We start from the raw sequence: 22,745 nt of genomic DNA on the forward strand, positions 1-22,745 counted from the left end.
CAAGCAATTCTGGTGCCTCAGCCTCCCAAGTAGCTGGGATTAGAGACATGTGCCACCACGCCCAGCTGATTTTTGTATTTTTAGTAGAAATGGGGTTTTACCATGTTGTTCAGGCTGGTCTCGAACTCCTGACCTCAAGTGATCCGCCTGCTTTGGCCTCCCAAAGTGCTGGGATTACAGGTGTGAGCCACCACACCGGGCCTGAAAAATATCTTTTCCGATACCAGTCTTATGGAGTCTGTTTCAACAATAGTTTTATATTATATTGTAGTTATATAGTTAAGATATTTTGAAAGCTAAAAATTGTATCTTACTGCAACAGCATGAATTTATTTAGGTAGCTATTGCTTTCATTCTATAATTAACAATGCTTTAATAAATACCATAAGGAGAAAGCAGAAAAAAGTTTGATGAGACTGGGACATTTCCACTGTTAGGTTAAAGGAATAATAATCAGTTGAAAGTGAATTTAGGCCAGGTACAGTGGCTCACGCCTGTAATCCCAGCACTTTGGGAGGCTGAGGCGGGTGGATCACTTGAGGTCAGGAGTTCGAGACCAGCCTGGTCAATATGGTGAAACCCTTTCTCTACTGAAAATACAAAAATTAACTGGGCATGTGGCATGTGCCTGTAGTCTTAGCTACTTGGGAGGCTGAGGCAGGAGAATCACTTGAACCTGGGAGGTGGAGGTTGCAGTGAGCCAAGATCGTACCACTGCCCTCCAGCCTGGGCGTCACAGCGAGACTCTGTCTCAGAAAAAAAAAAAAGGAAGTGAATTTGGCAAAGTCTGCAATGCTTCTAATTAAAGTAATAATAGGATAGGGAGTTAAAGGTAGTGCTTTGTCAACACAGCAGATAAATCAATTATATTTTTGAGAAAGTAGTTACTACAAAGTTAAGTCAAATTTGTTCAGAGCAGGCCAGGTTGACAGTGATAGTAGACTGGGCTCAGTTCCTTGTGTTTGTTTTACTCACTTCATTATATATACTTCCTCATATTCCAGATAAATATAGACAACATAGTCTGTATCAAATTGCCAGAAATTAACATGGTGAAAATTATTCTATGCATTGATCTGTTTCTGAGAAATTAAATGATCACTAAAGAATTATTTAAAATATATCTGAACTAATCTTTTAATTAATTGGAACCTTAATAATCATGACTGATAATAGTGATCAGTGATTGAACCTTTATTATTTACCAGCTAATATAGTAGGCCCATAAATAGGTTATATCATTTGTAGTCACAATAACCATATACATTATATATTTTATCTAGTGCTACTACCCATATTTTATAGCAGTCAAGGTTCAGATAATCATAACATGCCCAACATCTTACTAACAGTGAGTTATCCAAACAGGAACAATCTCAAGTTTATATTCAAAGCCCATGTTCTTTTGCTTAATATTTCCCTGTCTCTCCTAAATATATTTTCAGCAATATGATTGTGAATTTCCTGTCATGTTTTCTACCTGACCATGAGCCTTTAGCATCTGCACTTATCTTCCTTTTTGAACATCTAACATTGTGTTCTGTTGGTCATTGTTAAAAATCTATTATTTCTTCTTTTGTTCTGGGAGCTTAGAAACCTTAAGTATTGTATTTGAAATATTTGTTTCTAAAATTCTTATTGAAGCTTTATTTTCTGACAAATACAACTGGGCTTTTCTTCTTTTTTTATTTTTAGTTTTTTAAAATTCTTTGACCTAGCTTGAGCAGTAGTGGCAAACTGATGTCTGAGAACACATTGTAAGACCAAGTGCTTGTAAATAATAGAGGATAATATTGAGTTGAATGCATGCCAGAACCTTCTACTCCTCGCTAAAAGTCTGTTTTGAGCAGAATATGTGGAGATTTAAAGAGATTCCATCTTTTTGAAAACTTCAGTTTCTGGAAGCAATTTATGTATTCTTAATGGCTTTGCAACCTGTATCTCAAAAGAGCCTATTGCCAGTAACCTTAGTATTATTGAACTGTAATGTATGCAGTGTCTTTGTGTTTTATAAAAAAGATTAAAAAAAATCATAAGCTTCTTCAGAAAGTTTATACTTTACATTTGGGTTCAGCTCAGTGCAACACAATAGAGAGCATGCAGAGAATGCCAAGTTAGTGTTACAGTTAATATATCTTGGAAGATGGGTGAAATTTTGGAAGTACCTTAGAGAAGAAACAGCTATAGTCCTCATTTAATAATCCTCAGGGCAATATGTAGGGTGGACTAGGAAGTTACTTGGTGATATACAACATGCTTTGCATGCTAAGCTGTTAGCTGATTCAGTTATTAAAACAACTGCCAATTTGAAGTAAATAATAGAATAGATTTATGGAAAAAACTAACATGTTATTTGGTTAAATTTTCAGGATTTTTTCTTCTGTGTATGTGCCTGTGTAAATGAAAGTTGTAGTCATATAGCCTGTTATTAAGGATTCTTCTGAGAGAAAATTATCAATATTTATTGTGCATGTAGTTTACATATGTCACTTAATTTCATTTAATTCTCACAATCTTCTTTTAAAATCAGCAGGGTGGGCCTTAATGTACAGATAATGAAACTAAAGCTTAAAGAGATGTATTAGTTTTTGTAAGGTCACATATTAATTACTGGTGGAGCTGGGATTCAGTGTTTGATGTTAGGTGCATCTGGCATTAAAACCGATGCTTTACCCTCTCTGCAACTGGCCTCTAGGGCTGATATGACTTACTTACTGTGGACACCAGAATATCAGCTAGCATTGTCCTATAGAATCTCTTCACTTCAGATCCTTATAGTGATACCAAAAGGCTTTGTTATTCAGGAAAGTAGTTAGAAATCTGGATGCCACACTAGAAATGAACAGTGTACAATTTACTTAATAACAACTCAAATATATATACACATATACATATACCACCTATATATATTTGTACAAATAATATTAATTTTTAATTCTATGTTTTGGTGTAATATGCTTCACTAAGGAAGTCATTAGATAGTAAAGTTATTTGTTAAGAGCTTAGGTTTGGGAATCAGTATGAGTTCTGGACTTAGCTTTGCTGTTTATTCTCTGTTACTTGAAGTTTCAAGCTCTATCATTCTCCTGGAAGTATGAAAATAATAAAATCTTATTTACAGTTTTGCTGTGATGAGATAATGAGATAAAATATATAAAACCTATATAGCACACTATTTGGCACATTATTACTCAATATGTAATTAATATCACCACTATTATTTTTATGTTTATAATTAGCAATTTTAACCAACAGTCACATTAGCAAATATTTCTTTTTCCCGTCCAGTAGGAAGATGATTCATTCATTATTTTAATTCTTAAAAGTTCACTCATCAATTGGTTTCCCATACTTTTTCCACATGTAATAGCAGCTACAATAAATATCACTAATATTTATTAAGACATTGCTAAACACATTGCATACAATATCTCATAAAATTATTCCAATTATCCTAGAATATAAGTACTATTCTTAATATAATTTTCAAGATTAGAAAAACGGAGGTTCAGAGAGGCAAAGCACCATTCCAAAGGTAAACAGCATAGGTGGTAGAGCTGGGATGCGGCCCCAGGGTCGTCTGACACCACAGTACTTACTGCAGGGAGTTGTGCAGAGTGCCTCTGGTGTTCATCCCTGAAGAAAGGTTCATTTCTTTCATCACTTGCTTTGATTTTTATTGTGGCAAATCTGGTCCCCTTGACCACAGAATCACAGACTTGATGCTTTTGTAACCAAAAGTTGACACTTTAATTTGAATATTCACTAATTATACTACTAGTGATAAACTCTCTTTTGTTTCTTCTTTTGCCTACACAGTACTACTTGATAGAGAGATGAGATTAACAGCATGAATCCTCAAGCCTGATTTCTTATGTTCAATTTCCAGCTGCATCACCTCTATGTGATGCTACTATCTTGTATCCCTCTGTGACTCAGTTTCCACCTCTAGAAAATAGGAAGGGGGATAACAGTCTCTTCCTCGAAGAGTTGTGAGGATTAAAGACAACTTGTAAATAGTGCTTAGAGAGATACTTGACATATAATCCTATAGAGATATTATTACTACATGACTTAACTGAAAGGGATTTGCTCTTCTGTTTTTTGTTTTGTTTTGTTTTGTTTTGTGTTTTTGCTTTTGTTTGATGTACGTGTGATAAAACACAGCCACAGCTACCATTACAGGAGAACGCTCTTTTGCTCTCTCTCCTGTCTCTTTTTTCTCTGTCTGGGTCTGATTCTCTCTATCCCTCTATCTTTCCTCCTTCCCTTTCTTCTCTCCCCCAATCTCCCGCAAACACATCTATATTGGGTAAGGTTTAGATAAAGCGTCCATGTTCAGAAGTTATTGATTGTGTGATATTTTCTGTGTCACAGCATTCAGACATTTCCCTTGGCCTGTGGTTATATTGTTTTTAACCATATTGTGCCCCCTTTGTGTGAGTGACACATCCACCATCCCCGGCTAGCAGAAACAATGGAAAATAACTGAGTTAGAGATATCCTGAAAGTTTAATTAAGGACTTGTCAAATAACAACTCACTTTGTCATTTTCACTTTAAAACCTTCCACAGATCTGTTCTTTGAATGAATGTTTAATTCAGTTAAAAGGATGGACTTAGTTCAGTTTAGAGGCAGAATCAGGAAAGGAAAATGTCAAAAATAAAAAGGTTAGACTATGTTGCTTCTACCATTTTAAATGGACATACTGATACTGGAATAAATTACACTAAACAATAATATATACCCTTTTAAATCTGTGAATATTGCAATGCAATGTACAGAATAAATCTTTTTTTTTTTTTTTTTTTTTTTTTTTTTTTTTTTTACAAAATGTTTTTTATCTAAGGATTCAAAAGTCCCAGCTATTTCCAGTAGCAGCATCTGTTGCTTTGCCAGTTTCCACAGAGATGAGCTCGTGTTGATTTTCACCACATTTGTTCAAGTCTGGAATCTGGTTAAAACATGCAAACAGTTGTGTTGCTGGCTAAGAGGTGCAATCTCATAGTACCCTTTGAATAATAGTAGTCACTTGCATTTATTTTAATTCAAATGGCATTTGCAATTATGAATCTAAGCATGGATTATTTTAAAATAACTAATTAGAATAAGAAATATAAAGCATTCTAATTCTAGAAGGAAGAATGATATGGTACATGCATGTTCTTAGAAACCATAATGATATCTACTTTAAATCTTCTCAGTTGAAATTTGCATTTTATTTTTTCATCACCATTTTGGGATAACTTTTGCAAAAAGAAGTACTCTCTCAATTATATCTTATCTTAGTTCATTGTCTAAGATGCAGATTGGCAAACATAGACATTTTTCTGTTATCCAATTTATAAATCTTCCATATCTTTATCCATATATTGATTGCAAATTCATAATATCCTGAGATGAAACCAGATTTTAAAACTATGATTGTGAATTGGAAATGTCTGCTATTTGGGTACCTACATCTAATGAAAGTAGGACAGGAACAGTAGAAAAACAAACAAAGGTTAAGGTGCTGGCAAATGTTCTTGGCATGATTAACATAGTGTTAACATTGATTTTAGCCATTCTGCTTGCTGCAAGCCTTTTAATACACCCCATATATCCATACTTAGTCTCTTCTGCTATTAGGGGTAGTTAAGTGGAAAATGTTGAGAAACCCTAAAAGTTGGAAATATCAGTAATGTAACTTTTTTCTATACTTTTAAATATTTTGAATGTTTAATTGTCTGACAATTTTAAAAACAAATTACTGGCTGGGCATAATGACTTATACTTGTAATTCCAGCACTTTGGGAGGCTGAGGTGGGAGGATTACTTGAGGCTAGGAATTTGAGAGCAGCCTTTTGTGAGACCCCATCTCTACAAAAAATTGAAAATTAGCCAGACTTGGTGGCTCGTACCTGTCATACCAGCTACTTGGGAGTAACAGGCAAGAAGATTGCTTGAGCCCAGGGGTTTGAGGCTGCAGTGAGCTATGATCCCACCACTGCACTCCAGCCTGAGTGGCAGAACAAGAGCCCATCTGAAAAAAAAAAAATTGTTATCTCATAGCCAGTGACTTTTAAACTTAATTCTTAATATTCTATATTACTAATATGGGATAAATTACAAAGATGTAAAAATTCATCACACATATTAAGGCACCTTACTAATTTTCAGGAAGAACAGGAAATGTAAGTGACTATTATAGAACAATAAATCACTAGTCATTAACAGGCATTACCTAAACACCAAGCAAGGTTCTATGTCTTTTACTTTCAAACTTTCAGTAGGTTTCTAAGAGAAGATATGTTGTTATCTCTAGTTGATAAAGGAGAAAACAGGGTGAGAGAGCTTTAGGTAATTTTCACAAGCTATTTAATAGTGGCATTGACAGCCAGATTCATAAACTTTTAAATTATATTTCAGATGTTGCCTCACTTATGTGAATTTGCTGTGAAAATAAGTAAAGTTAATTTTATCTAGTAAAATAGATTCTCCACCTTCCTTTTCAGTTGAAATCATGCATTGGCATTTCAGTAACAATGATTACAAGTATTTTAATGCCAACAAACATTTGAATACACGTTTCCACTGTAGATGTCATAGCACTTTAAGTACCTTAATAATTGATGGCCAGTTTTCCCAATATTAAAATTTTATAAGATTTTATTTTCCCAATTGTAATGGTAAAAGCAGGGGCAAAATTTTGATTTTTTATGTAATGTTATTTTCGCAATGTGAAAATAAAAAAAAGCCACCAAAATGAAATGGGCTAAGATGGTGATATCATCAAATTTTACTTCAAAATTTACTTTGTGATTGTTAGAAATAATTGAACAGACTTCATAACCTGAATTTACTTTAACTCATTGTAAATATTTATTTATATTAATCAAAGGACAAACTTACAAACTTTCCTTACTTTTTAAGACACTGAATTATATTGAGTACGTAACATTACTTAGGATAATTCTGCCTGACATCAATTTTCAATGATTGAAGTTTTTAAAATTAAAAAAGTGGCTGGGTTCAAGATGAGTCTGAGTAACATGACAAAACCCTGTCTCTACAAAGAAATACAGCTCACTTGGGAGGCTGAGGTGGGAGGATCACCTGATCCCAGGGAGGCTGAGGCTGCAATGAACTGAGATGGTGCCACTGCACCGCAGCCTGGGCGACAGAGTGAGATCTCATCTCGAAAAACATAAAAATAAAAAAGATAGATTGTAAGGCAGTATTATCACTTAGTAAAAATATATTTATAGTATTTTTTCTTAAATTTAAATTAATGTCTTGGATGGGAAAGACACTTAGAATGACAGTGGCTGCTTTTAGGGAGAAAATATAAGGCACTTCCACATTATTTGTTTTACTATTTCTTATCTTAACAATGACATCAGATATTTATTCTTTATTCTAGATACTTTTCTTTATCTTTAAATTTCTCAAAATAAAACCAAGTAAATATATCAGGAAATACATTTTTTATTTTTCCTGATTAAGTGATAATCTATGATTTTTCTTATGAAATACTTAGAGGCTAGAAAGTTATTAGAAAATACAGAATGCTGCTATGTGTGTGTTTACACTTAATGTTTTAAAACTAATTTATTATCTTATATATAAATGTTTCTGGGGCTATTCCTCACGTAAAATTGATTATAAACACGGATATCTGATCATAGTCAGATTTGCACCATTACAGAGTTTAAGTGATAACTGAGTTCATAACTAAAATATTAGAGACATTACGGCAAAGTAAAATAACAACAATTTAAAAAAAAACCCACGCATAGAAATAGGATGATACTTTTTTTCTCTACAGCTTATTAGATCTGTGCTCAAGAAAGGTCAAGAGACTTAACCTCTCTGAGCACTAAATTCCTTATCTTTAAAATAGATGCAAGAATATCTTCTCAACAGGACCATATTGAGGATTAGAATGGAAAAAAAAAAAAAGAGGGAAGAAGAGAGAGAGCACCTAACACAGTGCTAGCCACATGATAGATACTAATTTTCTACATGAGTTTATTTTAAAACTGTCTTGAAAAAACATAGTATATAGTGATAACAACTAATTCTTTGGTAATATATAACAGAATATTCATAAGGCAAGATTTTGGAAGGATTCAAATGTGGCTTCTTATTTATGCATTATATCCTAATTATCTATATGTATTGTATGTCTGATTGCTAGTCAGTTAGAAAAAAGACAGAATATCCCTTCCTTCAAACTATGCCAGGCTTAAAAACAATAGAAATTACTTATAATGGATGGGGGAGAATTGAAATGAATGAAGAAAAACTATCATCACTTATTTAAATTACACTTAATTATTGAGGGGATGGTTTTTAAAATTCATCATTATCTTACATTTTAATAGCCTTTAATAGAAGTCTATTAGACTTCTATTAAAGTAGAGAAATTGGTGAATTTTACTATTTACAGAAAATTGTGTCTTTTGACTAATATGAGACAGAAACTTGATATATGGTTTTAATTTATTCCTGTACTTCCAGTCTTCACAAAATGAATATTCACAAGTTGACTGATTTGATTGTAACACAATCGAAATAAATGATTTATGAAGAGAACAAAATTGAGTAAATTAGAATACCATGAGGCAAATGATATCCAAGGAACATAATTGATAAACTGAAAAAATTTACATCTGATAGCCAGCAACCAGTTCCAGATATTCCTAGAGCAGGAATGGAACTTGATACATCACATGGCCCAGAACACTGATTTTAGCATATGGATTTCTGAAACTTGAGCAAAAGCTTATTCTGGCCTTATAGATGCAAAAGAATAGAACCAGCACAATGACTTTTCTTTTTCTAGCATATAAATATTACCACCTTTTATTCGTTTAACAAATACTTGGGAGAGTTACCTTTTGTCCTCCCACCCCCCATAGCAATCCTTTGCTACGTAAAGACAAAAAGGTAAGCGTCCATTAATTGAGTCACTTATTGTAGATATTATATGACAAATTTTACATTTCTGTATATGTTATTTCATGGTCACAGCAGTGTTGTGAGACAGGTATTGTTGACAGTGCTTTACTCTGCAGAAGAATAAAGTGATACTCAGTTAAATATATTTTCTAAGTTTACACAATATTAAAGTTTAGATTCAAAATCAGATTTGTTTTATTTATGACACTGTTTCTTAAACAATGAAAAATTGTTACATAATTTTTCCACTTATCTCCTTATAGGGACATGTATGTTCTGAGATTATTCTATGCTACTTTTGCTTTTGGTTTGTGGTTAATATTTAGGTAATGATGCATTATCCTTCAAACATGAATAGTATCATCACCCTGTGTTTTTTGTTGAAAGAAAGTATATGTATCAAAGCTATTAACTTAGAGTACAACTTTTAATCTATTCTATTATTCGGGCTTCAGATAAACAGTCCAAAACCTAGATAAGAAAGTGAAATGAATTATTTAGGCCAAACCGGCTTTACATGTGCTTCCACTATGCATAATTTATCAAGAATTTTCTCTTTTCTTGTAGGGATGACTTGTCAAGCTCGAACATCATATACTGAAGATGAAGTTCTTTGGGGTCATCGTTTTTTTCCTGTAATTTCCTTAGAAGAGGGATTCTTTAAAGTTGATTACTCCCAGTTCCATGCAACATTTGAAGTCCCCACCCCACCTTACAGTGTGAAAGAGCAGGAGGAAATGCTTCTCATGTCGTCCCCTTTAATAGCACCAGCCATAACTAACAGCAAAGAAAGACATAATTCTGTGGAATGCTTAGATGGACTAGATGATATTACTACAAAACTACCATCTAAGCTGCAGAAAATTACTGGAAGAGAAGACTTTCCCAAAAAACTCTTGAGGATGAGTTCTACAACTTCAGAAAAAGCCTACAGCTTGGGAGACTTGCCCATGAAACTTCAACGAATAAGTTCAGTTCCGGGCAACTCAGAAGAAAAACTGGTATCTAAAACCACCAAGATGTTATCTGATCCCATGAGCCAGTCTGTGGCTGATTTGCCACCAAAGCTTCAAAAGATGGCTGGAGGAGCAGCTAGGATGGAAGGGAACCTTCCAGCCAAATTAAGAAAAATGAACTCTGATCGCTTCACATAACAAAGCACTCCCTTAGGCATTATTTAATGTTTGATTTAGTAATAGTCCAATATTTGGCGATGAGGTAATTCTCCCTAAGGAATCTGAAAGTATATTTTCCTCCCAGTTCTACAAGCATATTTGAGAACCCTTCCTTTCCCAAGTATTGCGAATGTGCAGAAAGCAACAGTTACGGAGGGAGGACATCATAAGGAAGTTATTAACGGGCATGTATTATCACATCAAGCATGCAATAATGTGCAAATTTTGCATTTAGTTTTATGGCATGATTTATATATGGCATATTTATATTGTATATTCTGGAAAAAAAATATATATATATATTTAAAGGGGAGATACTCTCCCTGACATTTCTAACATATGTATTAAGCCAAACATGAGTGAATAGCTTTCAGGGCGATAAAACTAAATATATGTCTGTGTGTGTGTGTGTATGTATACACACATATACATATATATATACACATACATACACATACATACATACATACATATATATCTGATAAAATTGTGATGTTTTGTTCAAAGTTGTAGTTCTTGTGCATGTTTACTTTATTAGAGTAGGAAGGCTACTGGCATTAATTATTAATACCAAATATTTTAGCCTTAAATTTTTGTCATTTTAAAATCTGATTTAATGTTTTCTGCTGTTTAAGGTCTTGGGAGGCTTTCAATTGTATTTTATATGAGAGAATCACACAAGTTTGTGCTATCTATGGCCCTGCAAAAATATAACCATTACATGTTTAAATTGTAAATTTTAGAGCATACCAGTACTCAGTATAGCATTGAACATTTCTTATGATTTTTAAAAGTTGCTAGTACTGGGGAGAAATAATTGTTGATTAATTTGAGAATTATTCCTTTCCTAGACTAATTAAAATCTGGAAATCTGTTTTGTATATGATCTAATACAAAGATGAGCTCTGAACAAACACTGAATCATGTTAATAGACAGTAGCCAAGTTATATTGAATATATCAGAATCTGTGTGAAGTTACACAATTAATTGTCCCTGTTTCAAACTGAGTAAATTGGAAACATTTTCTTTCTTTTTCTGGAAATTTTGTCCATTTTAAAAACCAATCATTTTAAGAAGACATGACAATGCAATGAAACAGATGATAAATATTTATGCTTAAAATATGTATGTCTAATTGAGTCTCTTTTTTATTCTGTTTTCTTGTTTATGGCATTTGTTGTAACAGGATAGACTTTTTCCTCACCTAGGAAACCTATCCCATGCCTGTCACTTATAGTTCAGGAGGAAGTTTTTGCACAGACCAGAGAGAAATTAAAATTAGATGATAAATTGAAGATATCTTACACACAGTTTTTTGGTGAACACTGATTTTATTGGTGTCTTAGATCCCTAGTCTACCCAAATAATTTTAACAGTACTGTTTTTTCTAATCCTGAAGTCTGATATTTATGACTCATTAGCAGGAATCAAAACTAGTGATCAGTAGAACACTTTCAAAATAAAAATTTGGAATGCAGACTTTTATGAAAATTTAAAAGTGCTCCTTAACAGAATATCATGGGTTTTCCTATAAAACTTCTTTAAGTATTGTAATTCCAGTCTGCCCCAACTTTAAAAAAAATTCTTATTAATATGTCAGTCATTAATTGCTAGTTTGGGCTCTCATTATTTCCTGTTTTTTAACAATTTTGTGATAATTTTATTATTGGCAAATTAATACATCAACACTTAAATCATTGACTATAATAATACCTTCTGGCTACCTCTGTATCAACCAAATTCTGTAGGTGCAAACATATACCAGGGAATTCTTACTGGCAAAATGATCAATCTGGAGTGTGCATCCACTGTGAATGGAGCAAATTGCCCTATACCCATTGATAACCTAGCTTTCTTAGTTTGTAGATGTAGGAAACAAAATAGTGACAGAGAGAGAAGGGGGTCCACAGGGCATGGTATATTTATCAGCAGTGGAAAAAAAGTGCATAGATCATTTAGTCCAAGAACTTAAAACTAAATAGAGCCATAATTTACTTTGGAGAGTCATTTTAATTTGTCTTTGGTACCAAGGAGAAGACGGAACCAAAAACAAACTCTCCAAGTATATTCACACATTCAACAAAATTTTTGCATGCCTTCTATGTCGTAGGCATTTTTAGTTCCTGGGGATTTGGACATGGCTAAGTCAGAGAAGGCCATTGCTCACCATGAACACTGTATACCAGAAGGAGAGTGGGGAGGAGACAAAAAACAAATAAGACCACTTCAGACAATCAAAGTATCAGTTAAGAGAATGAAAACAGGCCTGACTCAGTGGCTCACGCCTGTAATCCCAGTACTTTGGGAGGCGGAGGTTGGGGGATCACCTGAGGTCAGGAGATCGAGACCAGCCTGGACAACATGGTGAAAACCCGTCTCTACTAAAAATACAAAAATTAACTGGGCATGGTGGCAGGCACCTGTAATCCCAGCTACTGGGGAAGCTGAGGCAGGAGAATCGTTTGAACCTGGGAGGCGGAGGTTGCAGTGAGCCAAGATTCTGCCACTGCACTCCAGCCTGGGTGACAGTGCGAGACTCCATCTCAACATCAAAAAAAAAAAAAAAAAAAAAAAAAAAAAAAAAAAAAAAAAGAATAAAAACAGGGTAACATAATGCAAAGTAACTGTGTGGAATAAAAATTGATTATTTTAGAAAATGTGACTGGCTTAGGACGGGGATAATATGTGAACAGAAATCTATCTCATGAGAAAGTGCTACTGTTGTCAAAATTACCTTATCTGAGTGAATGGTATTTTTTTTATCTTTTCCACACATGCGTGGGAAAGGTATGATTTCTGCATGTAATTGCAGTTTAACCCTTATTTCTAGGTTGATCATAGGTCCCAGTTTACCCAGGAAAATTCCAGTTTATACCTGTTGTACCTGTGTAATTATTGGTAGCACTCCCTTTCACTCTTACAATGTCTTGGTTTGGATGATATATGGTGAAGTTTTTGTTGAAACTAAATTATGAAGTCTGATATATTTGGATAAAAATAAAGAATTGCTTTTCTTCTCCTTTTGCTGATTTTTTGACACATCATTCTAAGCAAAATCATCTCAGCTTCGTATATTTCAGCCTGAAGTACTTCTTACCAAAGTTGTTTCATGTAACATTTGTTCAATATGTTCGTGACATGTCTCTCAGTAATGAAAAGTTATGCATTTTATTGAATGAATAAAAACCTAACCTCTGCTATTTCCATTTCTGGAAGTTGTAAGAGCTCACATTAAAGACAGTAAAAGTCAATTTAAGCCAAGATCATTTTCAGCCCACCAATGTCATGGCTATTGGAAAGGAAAACCTAATGTGATCATTGAACTATCATAACAAGTGGAAACTAGAACTTTTTTATAGCATTTTCATGATATAGGTCCTGTTATAGTAAGATATTTCATTCTATTTATCAAAATGGTGTAAATAAAAGAAACACAATTATTTTGGTAATGCTTATCTTCAGTTTAAACATTTATTCTTTTCAGAAATATGTAAATACCCTTTTGTAAATATATACAAAATGAAAAATAAGGATATTTTACCATTAATTATTTCTGAAAGATTCTTATGCTGTTTTAAATTTATCTATATATGGCTTAAAATATTATGAAAAGAGCCTTTTTGTCAGGACAAAATGGCTCATAATACAGTATTTCTACTGGAGGAAGACTGGGGTCATCATGGGAAAGCTGGCTTACATTCTATTAGTTCTTACATTCTTCAGAATTTATGTTTGAATTACATTGTACATATTTAAATTAGCATCAACCTAATTCCATTTTCTGGCATGAAATCTATAATTATTTAAGTGTAAAAGGTCATTTAGTTTCAAAAATATAAACTCATGTATTCAATACTGCAAGTTCAATTTTATAAAAAACGGTATTAAACTTTTGAAACATGATTGGGTTTAATTTTTAGTGTTCTCATCCTTTTTGCACTCTTCACCACTTAATTATTCACATTTCTTGACTCAGTTTGTTTATCATAAGACTCTTAATTCCTGAAGGGCAATCATTAAATTCATCACAAGTCATTCCTTGATAATTCCTTTTATTTTGGCTGCTTATTGGTAAGATGCTTCAGCAATACCAAACGTCAGCTTAATAATGCAGATACTCAGGACCTGCGTTTCTTGGAGGAAGCTTCATGGTTATCCTACCCCTTGCTGAACCAGTGTTTTAAAAGCTACAGTAAGTAAAGCAGACAAACGCATAGTTTTTCTAATTTTGTTTAAGTATCTAATCATCTTTTAATAAAGCATTCAGTTGCTTCACCTGTGTTTCACAGAAAAATGTGTTCTTAATCTTGGATCAGATGAGTTTTGTGATGTGTAATGTGCCCAACTCCCAGGCACCTCAGAGAATTAATTTAGAAAAGCTAAGTCGCTACAGCTTCTGACCTAGTAGATTTCCATACAGATGGTCTTTTATCATTTAATAGAATTGTTAGGGTTGTTCCTCAAAATATATTTTGTTGTTGTTGTTGTTGTTTACAATTTTCTTCTGGACTTTCTTGTTGCTTAAAGGTCTATTATATGTCTGAATGCTGTGTTTTCAGAGAGGAAGATGTTTGCATATTCTCTTTAACTTAGATATTCTCCAGTTTCACTGTGATTTCTTTGGGATTTTTAAATCTACTTGTAAAGATTTTTTGAAATTATAGCTGTTTCAGAATATCTGGGCTTTTTCTGACCAATAGATGCTATAGAGCACAAATACTGTAGGACCTACTATATTCTCCTTGTTTACTAAGAATCAAATCCATGCTTCTATTTATCCTCTCCCAGCTCTGAATGTGTCAATCATGTACATGGTGACTTGCACACATTATTTATATATTAGAAACAACTCTGCATGGTAAAGATCATCCCTATTTTACACTTAAAGAAACTTATTCTCAGAGAGGCTGTTTAGCGGGTTTTTAATTAAATCCACAAACATGGGGTATAGTCTCTGCTCCCTGGAAGTATAAAGAATAAAGAGAATCCCTTTTAAAAACAACTGCATATTCCAGAAAATTTGGATGCATGAACATAAATATTCAATGACTGTGTGCAATGGCTTCTAACCTAACAGAATGTCTTGTGCAATGGAGTTTGCATTTTTCCTAGCTGTCATTTGGAGAAATGGTGGATGGAAAATGAGAGTCGTGTAAGGAGTAGCTGTGGTCACAATTGTGTGTTGGTTAGAGGAGGAAAAAAAAAGTAGGTAGGAAGCAAGGACAAATAAAAATGAAGAAAATGTGGAGGAAAGTAGACACTTGAAGTGTTGCACAAAGAAATACCTAAGTGGCAAAGAGGTAAAAATGAAAAAGACAAGCTAAAAAATCAAGAGTCCAGTGGATACTTGAAAAAATACTGCAAATAAGCAGAAAGTTTCTTCAAACCCAGGTACCTCAGACCCAGAGGTTTTTTTAAAAAATGATACAGTAACATTTTGCTGTATTTACCTCATGTACTTATTAAATAAATAAAGTGTCATAGAAATCTAAAACAGGCTGGGCATGGTGGCCCACCTGTAGTCTCAGCACTTTGGGAGGCCAAGGCAGGAGGATTGCTTGAGCCCAGGGGTTCAAGACCAGCCTGGGCAACAGTGGCACTTCATCTCTACTAAAAATAAGTTTAAAAAAATTAGCTGGGCATAGTGGCATGTGCCTATAATCTTAGCTACTAGGGAGACTGAGGTGGGAGGATCCCTTGAGCCCAGGAGTTTGGGGGTTGTAATGAGTTATGATCTACGACACTGCACTCCAGCCTGGGTGACAGAGTAAGACCTTGTCTCAAAAGAAGAGAAAGAATAAAAAGAAAAAGAAAGAAACCTAAAACAGCCACTTTGTCTCTTCCAAATCCTACACTATTCCATTTCTCTTCCTCATCGGAAGCCATCACTACCTAGAAATGAGTGTGTATATTTCCTGTGCTGGTGTGTATATGTATACTGCATATGCATAAATTTATATGTAATGCATACTATAACAATCTGATATTTTACTTGAATATATTTCTATACAAATGTATATAAATATGTGATATTTATATATAAAATGTATTTGTTATATAAATATGTTTCTATAAAATATGTTATATATAACATGCTATATAAATATATATTTAATATAAATATAAATATTCATAGATACACACCTACTGATAAATTTGTTTTTATTTTTTCTTTCTTCTCTTGGATTTTGTGTTTTCTTTCTTTGCCTTTTTTAAAAAAAATTTCCATGTCTATTATTGTAGTAACCTTCAAAATTTAAGCTTGAGTACAGCAACTAATGAAACCAAAGCTAATTAACATCTCCACCTTCCTTTCAAACAAAAGAAGGATCTTACAGCGTATTAAATTCAGCCACATCTTCCCCTGTTTTCTCTGCTATTTTTGCATAGTATTACACGTGTTTTTAATGTTCTAACAAAAAACTGTTATTTTTAAGTCAATGCATCTGTATAATTGGCTATATATTTCCTGATTTCTTCATTCACCATAGCTTCTTGCATCCTACTCATTCATCCTTTCTTTTTTTTCTTAATTAAGTATGTATTTTAACAGTTATTTAGGCAAACATCTGTGATCATCTTAAATGTTTTTTTCTTTTTTTACATTTTTTTTCTGGACATTCTTGTTGATTAAAAGTATATTATATGTCTAATTGACGTGTTTTCAGGAAGGAAAATATTTTCATATTCTTCAGTTTCACTATGATTTCATTTTTCAGGTAACAAAAATTTCTTCACATGGGATATCCTGGATAAGATATCCATAATTGCATGATGCTTAGGTTTGAGGTTTCAGCTTCTCCCAGAATACCTTCTGCTCTCTCCATAGCCCCGTGCACAGACAAGCTTCCTTGTCACTGGGCCTTAGGTGGAAAGTTTGGTTCCTGATAAGGTTTTACACAGCCCTAGACTTATTCAGGGTCTTCAGTTCCAGTTTCCTGTTTAACAGGTATCGAAGTTGCACCTTTCCCATTATAGGTGTTAAAATCTCAGTCCCCAAATTAGAACCTATCTCCATGTCTAATTCTCCTGAATTTGCACACAGACACACACACACACACTCACATACATGGAAGAAACTCCTGAATTTTAAAGACATTGTTTCACATGTCTTATATATATATACATAAATATATACACACACACACACGCTTTCATATATACATGTGCATATATCTGTGTGTGTGTATATATATATATATATAGAGTAGAAAGTCACACATACACATAAAGAGTCATGAAGTTTTTACAAGGCTTGTTACAATAAAAACAGCCCCCACTCTCTACCTACTCTCTCCTCACTCTCTCCCCAGAGACAAAGACTTTCAACCCTTTTAAATGACTCTATTGTTATTTACATGCAAATTTCTAATCATTCTTTTATTGCTTCCCTTGGTTTTCCATTTTGGGGTATTATTTGTTTGTCTTCCACTGTGGTAAATTATTTAGTTCTATTTTAACCCTTGCTATCCACTATACGTCTTCAACATCCACTCTAGTATAGTTAGATTTTCAACACTATATTTTAAGAGTTTAATTATCAATGTCCTCATTAAGTTCTATCACAACTGAGCCCCATGTATTTTGATTATTTTTCTCACCCTTTGTAGCTTCTTCCTCCTATAATTGATAACTGACTTCTTTGTTCATTTATGTATGTATCACTAATACAGTCATAGAATCTTCCCCAATTATGTAAATGATTTCCTGTTAATTTGTCAGACTCATTAGATACCCTACAAGTTTCATCTTCTTGAAGAAGCCTCCACCAAGACGTTCTGAGACGTTTCCTATGAAGGAAAGATCTTTTGACGCCATACAGGTGTTGTCTTGGGATCTTCCTTTGTAATCATCCTGGAGAGTCCATTCACCTTGTTCTTGGTGTAGAAACCCTGTTTCATGGAACATGTTTTCTTCTTTCTGTGTTTACTTTGTTTTGTTTTGATAAAATTTGTTTTGATAAAACATATTTTCCAGGGGTTTCTGAGAAAGAAATAGTGATAAACTCTTAGAGGCCTTGCACATATTTAAATAAATCTTTCCCTTGTAATTAATTGTTTGGTCTCTTGTACAAATTATTTTTTCTTCTGAATTTCAGTGACATTGTTCTTTTTTTTTCTAGTTTCCAGTGTTGCTATTGAGATATCTAATACCATTCTGAATTATAATAATCTTTCATATGAAAGTAATTTTTATCCATAAGGCTCTTAAGATATTCTATTCTTCCCCAGTGTTCTAAAATTTTCAAATGATCTACCTTCGTAGGGGCCCACTTAATCCCTTTTGCTGGGCCTTTGCAATCTGTATCCTCATGGTCCTCTCCATTTTCCTCTATTCTTTCTTTCTGGAATTGTTATTGTTTGGCTGTTGGAGTTCTTGGACTGATTCTCTAACCCCTTCATATTTCCTCTTTTATCTTTTTGCATTTTTTTCTGTACTTTATTGGGGATTTTCTTGACTTTATCCTTTACGATTTTTATTTCTGTCAATTTATTTCACTTTAGGTCATTTATCTTCCAGATTTTCATTTCTGCTATACTAGTTTTAATTTTCAAGTACTTTTTCCTGTTCTATAAACATTTCCTTTTTTACGAGTCCTTGTGTTGTTTCATGAATGCATAATTTTAGCTCTCTCAAATTATTAAAGATAATGTGTTTTAAATGTTTTTTTCTCTCTGCATTGTACCTATTTCTAATGTCTTTTTATATGTATGATTTGGGATCTATATTTCCTATTAGATTGTTTTCTCATATATCTGATGATTGTTAGGTCTTTTCTCATACTTAAAAATGGAGCAATTGCAATGATCAATGAAGTTCTGTTCAAATGTATGGGGTAAATCAAATTGATCTTCACTGGTGTGTGATGTGGTTCAGCTATTTGCCTGAGCTTAGTGTATCCTTCAGCTTGTTATTTAAGGTCAGTAACTGTACCCAGGTAAGACTCTTTCAATCTGCTCTTGCAGTCTGTGAAGGGTCGGTACCTGGCCACCAGAGTTCACAGGGAAAAGAGCGTTCAAGAATGACTATCTCTATCCTATTTTCAGAACAGTATCCTCATTCTCAAGACTGTTTAGGCTTCTGATTCTAGATACAGTTTTCTGCCAGGATATGAGAGAAGCAATCAACAAGTTGAGTTGATTAGAAGGGGATCTGCTCCTTAAATGGGCTTTCAGTGAGTTTCTTGCTATCATCTCCTTTTCTGACCTCTTCCCTCTGCTGTGCTTTAATATCCCTCAACTACTGTCTTAGTAATTTCAGAAATCAATCAATAAATAAATGCTTATATTTAAGTTATTTTGAGTCTTAATTAACACACTTAATGTATTTAATTAGACTATAGTATCACCGTTGCTATAAATTACCACAAATTTAGCAGCTTAAATAACACAAATGTCCGATCTTACAGTTCTGAAGCTAGAAGTCTGACATTGCTCTCACTGAGCGAAAGACAATGTCTTACCAGGGCTGAGTTTCTTCTGGAGGCTCTAGAAGAGAATTCATTTCCATGTCTTTTCCAATTTCTAGAGCCCATCGACATTCTTTGGCTTGTTGTCCTTTCCCCATCATCAAAGCCAGCAAAATGACCTCCCTCTTTGTCTTTATTCTATAGTGACATCTAGCTCTGACTCTCTTCTACATTATTCTTACAACCTTGGGAGACATTGCAATTACACTGGGGTAGGTAATCCAAGATAATCTCACCATCTCATAATCTCAAGTTCCTTGGCCTAATCACATCTTCCAGTCCCCTTTGCAAAGTAAAGTCATATATTCACAGGTTCCAGATATCAAGATACAGACTTCTTTGGACGTCATTATTCTGCCTACCTCACTAACCTTTCTTTCTTCTTCCCTTTTATAAAAACAGAATATAAGAATAATTTTTTAAAGTATGTTCTTTCACTAATCTAAGTATATTTATGAAAATTTTAAAATAAGAGAAGACACTTATTACTATTAATGACATTTTTCCTTGTGAAGAAATATATTTACCCGTACATTGTTTAATTATTCTCTTGGAAATCTATTTCTGTCACAGTCTGTGAACAAATGTCTGGCCAGGTTTTATTTTATACTTCTTCGTGGAAGATAAAACAAAACAAAACAAAACAAAACAAAACAAAACAAAACGGATTAAAATTAACATCTATAACTTCAATATTCTGAATCTAAGAATGTATCTCAAGTCCACTTTCTTTTGGTTCACTACCCTACCCTATAGTCTTAAAACAATATCAAGGTTAGATTTAAGTTTCAGTAGATCAACTTGAGAGCTGGTGTCAGTATTTATTGGGAGAAAAATATTACTGTGCCACACAGACACATAAAATGTATAAAAACTTGTGGCCTAGCAATTAATTTTAGAAATGAATTCCAATGTTTTTTAACCAGGTGATCAATGAAATGTATATAGCGACTTTGGATGGGCCCATGAGAGTGAACACTTTGATCAGTTTTTAAGTTTCAGTGGCTGACTCAATGAGAAGAATGAGTCATAAAATGTCATTTAGATGCAGGTTTAATTTTGTAAATGAAAGCTGCTAGCATATCCTCTACCAGTATCCCATTGTCATATAGAGGGCTGTGAAGTCTGATGAGATTTATGGCTTTCTTTCTTAGTAAAAATTCCTAAATAATTATTGTTTTTTGTTACCAACTTTTATCTCCCACCCACCTCACAGCTTAAGTGATTTCTTAGGTTCATAAAGCAAGCTATATTGAGGGGAAAAGTGGGCAAAGAATAAAACAATTATATTATAGTCCCATATTTTTGTATTATTATACAGGTTTCACTTCACTGGCTCTTGCTTTCCCTATGTATAACATTTATAGTGTGAAATTATATTCCATTACTTTTCATACTGAGATTCATATTTCACATTATCTACAACTTTCTTAAAATATCTCGATTTGGACATGTGAATAAAATCTCTCATCTAACTATAGTTTTTTAGTTAAATATAAGAATCTTGTATAGAATGCCAGCCATTAGAGTTGATGTTCAACTGTAAAGAAGATATTAAGTGGAAGATATTTGGAAAAGTGAGATCTACACTATGCTAGAAATATGTAGTGATTAAAAAGTAAAGATTAATCAGAAAACTTAGGCTTGTTAATTGATAAAATTCTTATTGATGGCTAAGTCATAGGAAAAGATTGCTTTGGAAATTATGCATCATAGTTAGCCTTAAAGAGGGTAGTTTCCCCTCCAGATGAGAACTAAAATGTTGGAATAGAAGAAAAGCTGTGAATGAGCACTATTCAAACCAATATTCTATTATCCAGAGCCAAAAAGAGATTAGTCACCTTTTATGTATTTATTTGTTATTTTTCCCCAATACTTTATGATTACTTTTGAAACTGTTAAGCATGGCTTTTTATAGGGGAAGCTCTTACTTGAGAATTATGGAAGCAGTTTGTATCATGTATAGAATCTGCCCCATCTCTTGCCAATTTACACAAACTTCATTAGTATTCATGTACAGAAGTTTCAAATCTCCACAGAGACCCATCAACTTAAAAGCATTAAGTCAACAATCACTTGTTTGGCCAATTTTGTGTCATGTTGTAGGTGTTATTGTATGCACGAGGGTTATAGAAAATAATAAAGGGAAAAAATTATAAACTTATTCAAAATGACTGACAATTAAAATACAGTAAATGTTTTGAAACATAACTGCACAGCATGCTATGGGAAAACTGAATAAGGTGATTTAAGTTATGCATGATATGGAATTGCGTGGGGCTAAAAAAGATGGGAAGATCTTGAAGAGTATTTTATAGTAAAGAATACTGGAATTGCATTTTAGAAGACTTGAATAAATTACTTAGACAATGAAAAGGAGGAAAAGTAAAGAAAGAAGCCTATACAGAATTTGGAAACAATATTTGTCAGGCCTGAGCCCAAGCCAAGCCATTGCATCCCCTGTGTCTTGCACATATACGCCCAGATGGCCTGAAGTAACTGAAGAACCACAAAAGAAGTGAATATGCCCTGCCCCGCCTTAAATGACATTCCACCACAAAAAAAGTGAAAATGGCCTGTTCCCGCCTTAACTGATGACATTCCACCACAAAAAAAGTGAAAATGGCCTGTTCCTGCCTTAACTGATGACATTGTCTTGTGAAATTCCTTCTCCTGGCTCATCCTGTCTCAAAAGCTCCCCCACTGAGCACCTTGTGACCCCCCCACTCTGCCCGCCAGAGAACAACTCCCCTTCGACTGTAATTTTCCTTTATTTACCCAAATCCTATAAAACGGCCCCACCCTTATCTCCCTTCCCTGACTCTCTTTTCGGACTCAGCCCACCTGCACCCAAGTGATTAAAAGCTTTTATTGCTCACACAAAGCCTGTTTGGTGGTCTCCTCACATGGACACGCATGAAATTTGGTGCCATGACTCGGATCAGGGGACCTCCCTTGGGAGATCAATCCCCTGTCCTCCTGTTCTTTGCTCCATGAAAAAGATCCACCTACGACCTCAGGTCCTCAGACCCACCAGCCCAAGGAACATTTCACCAATTTTAAATCGGGTAAGCGGCCTCTTTTTACTCTCTTCTCCAGCCTTCCTCACTATCCCTCAACCTCTTTCTCCTTTCAATCTTGGCGCCACTCTTCAATC

General features: G+C 33.9%; 1 protein-coding gene across 2 annotated transcripts in view; it reads left to right on the forward strand.

Annotated features, from left to right (window-relative positions):
* Nucleotides 1-13,138, forward strand: part of KCNJ3 (potassium inwardly rectifying channel subfamily J member 3) — a 159,660-nt gene extending 146,522 nt beyond the window's left edge. For both annotated transcript variants that reach the window (NM_002239.4, NM_001260508.2), the window contains one exon: nt 9,511-13,138. In NM_002239.4, coding sequence (NP_002230.1) covers nt 9,511-10,097 — 587 coding nt within the window. In that variant the 3' untranslated portion in view covers nt 10,098-13,138. The remainder of the gene's footprint in view (nt 1-9,510) is intronic.
* The last annotated feature ends 9,607 nt before the right edge of the window (nt 13,139-22,745 follow it).

The sequence above is a fragment of the Homo sapiens genome, chromosome 2 (assembly GCF_000001405.40).
Source record: "Homo sapiens chromosome 2, GRCh38.p14 Primary Assembly".
Taxonomy (NCBI): domain Eukaryota; kingdom Metazoa; phylum Chordata; class Mammalia; order Primates; family Hominidae; genus Homo; species Homo sapiens.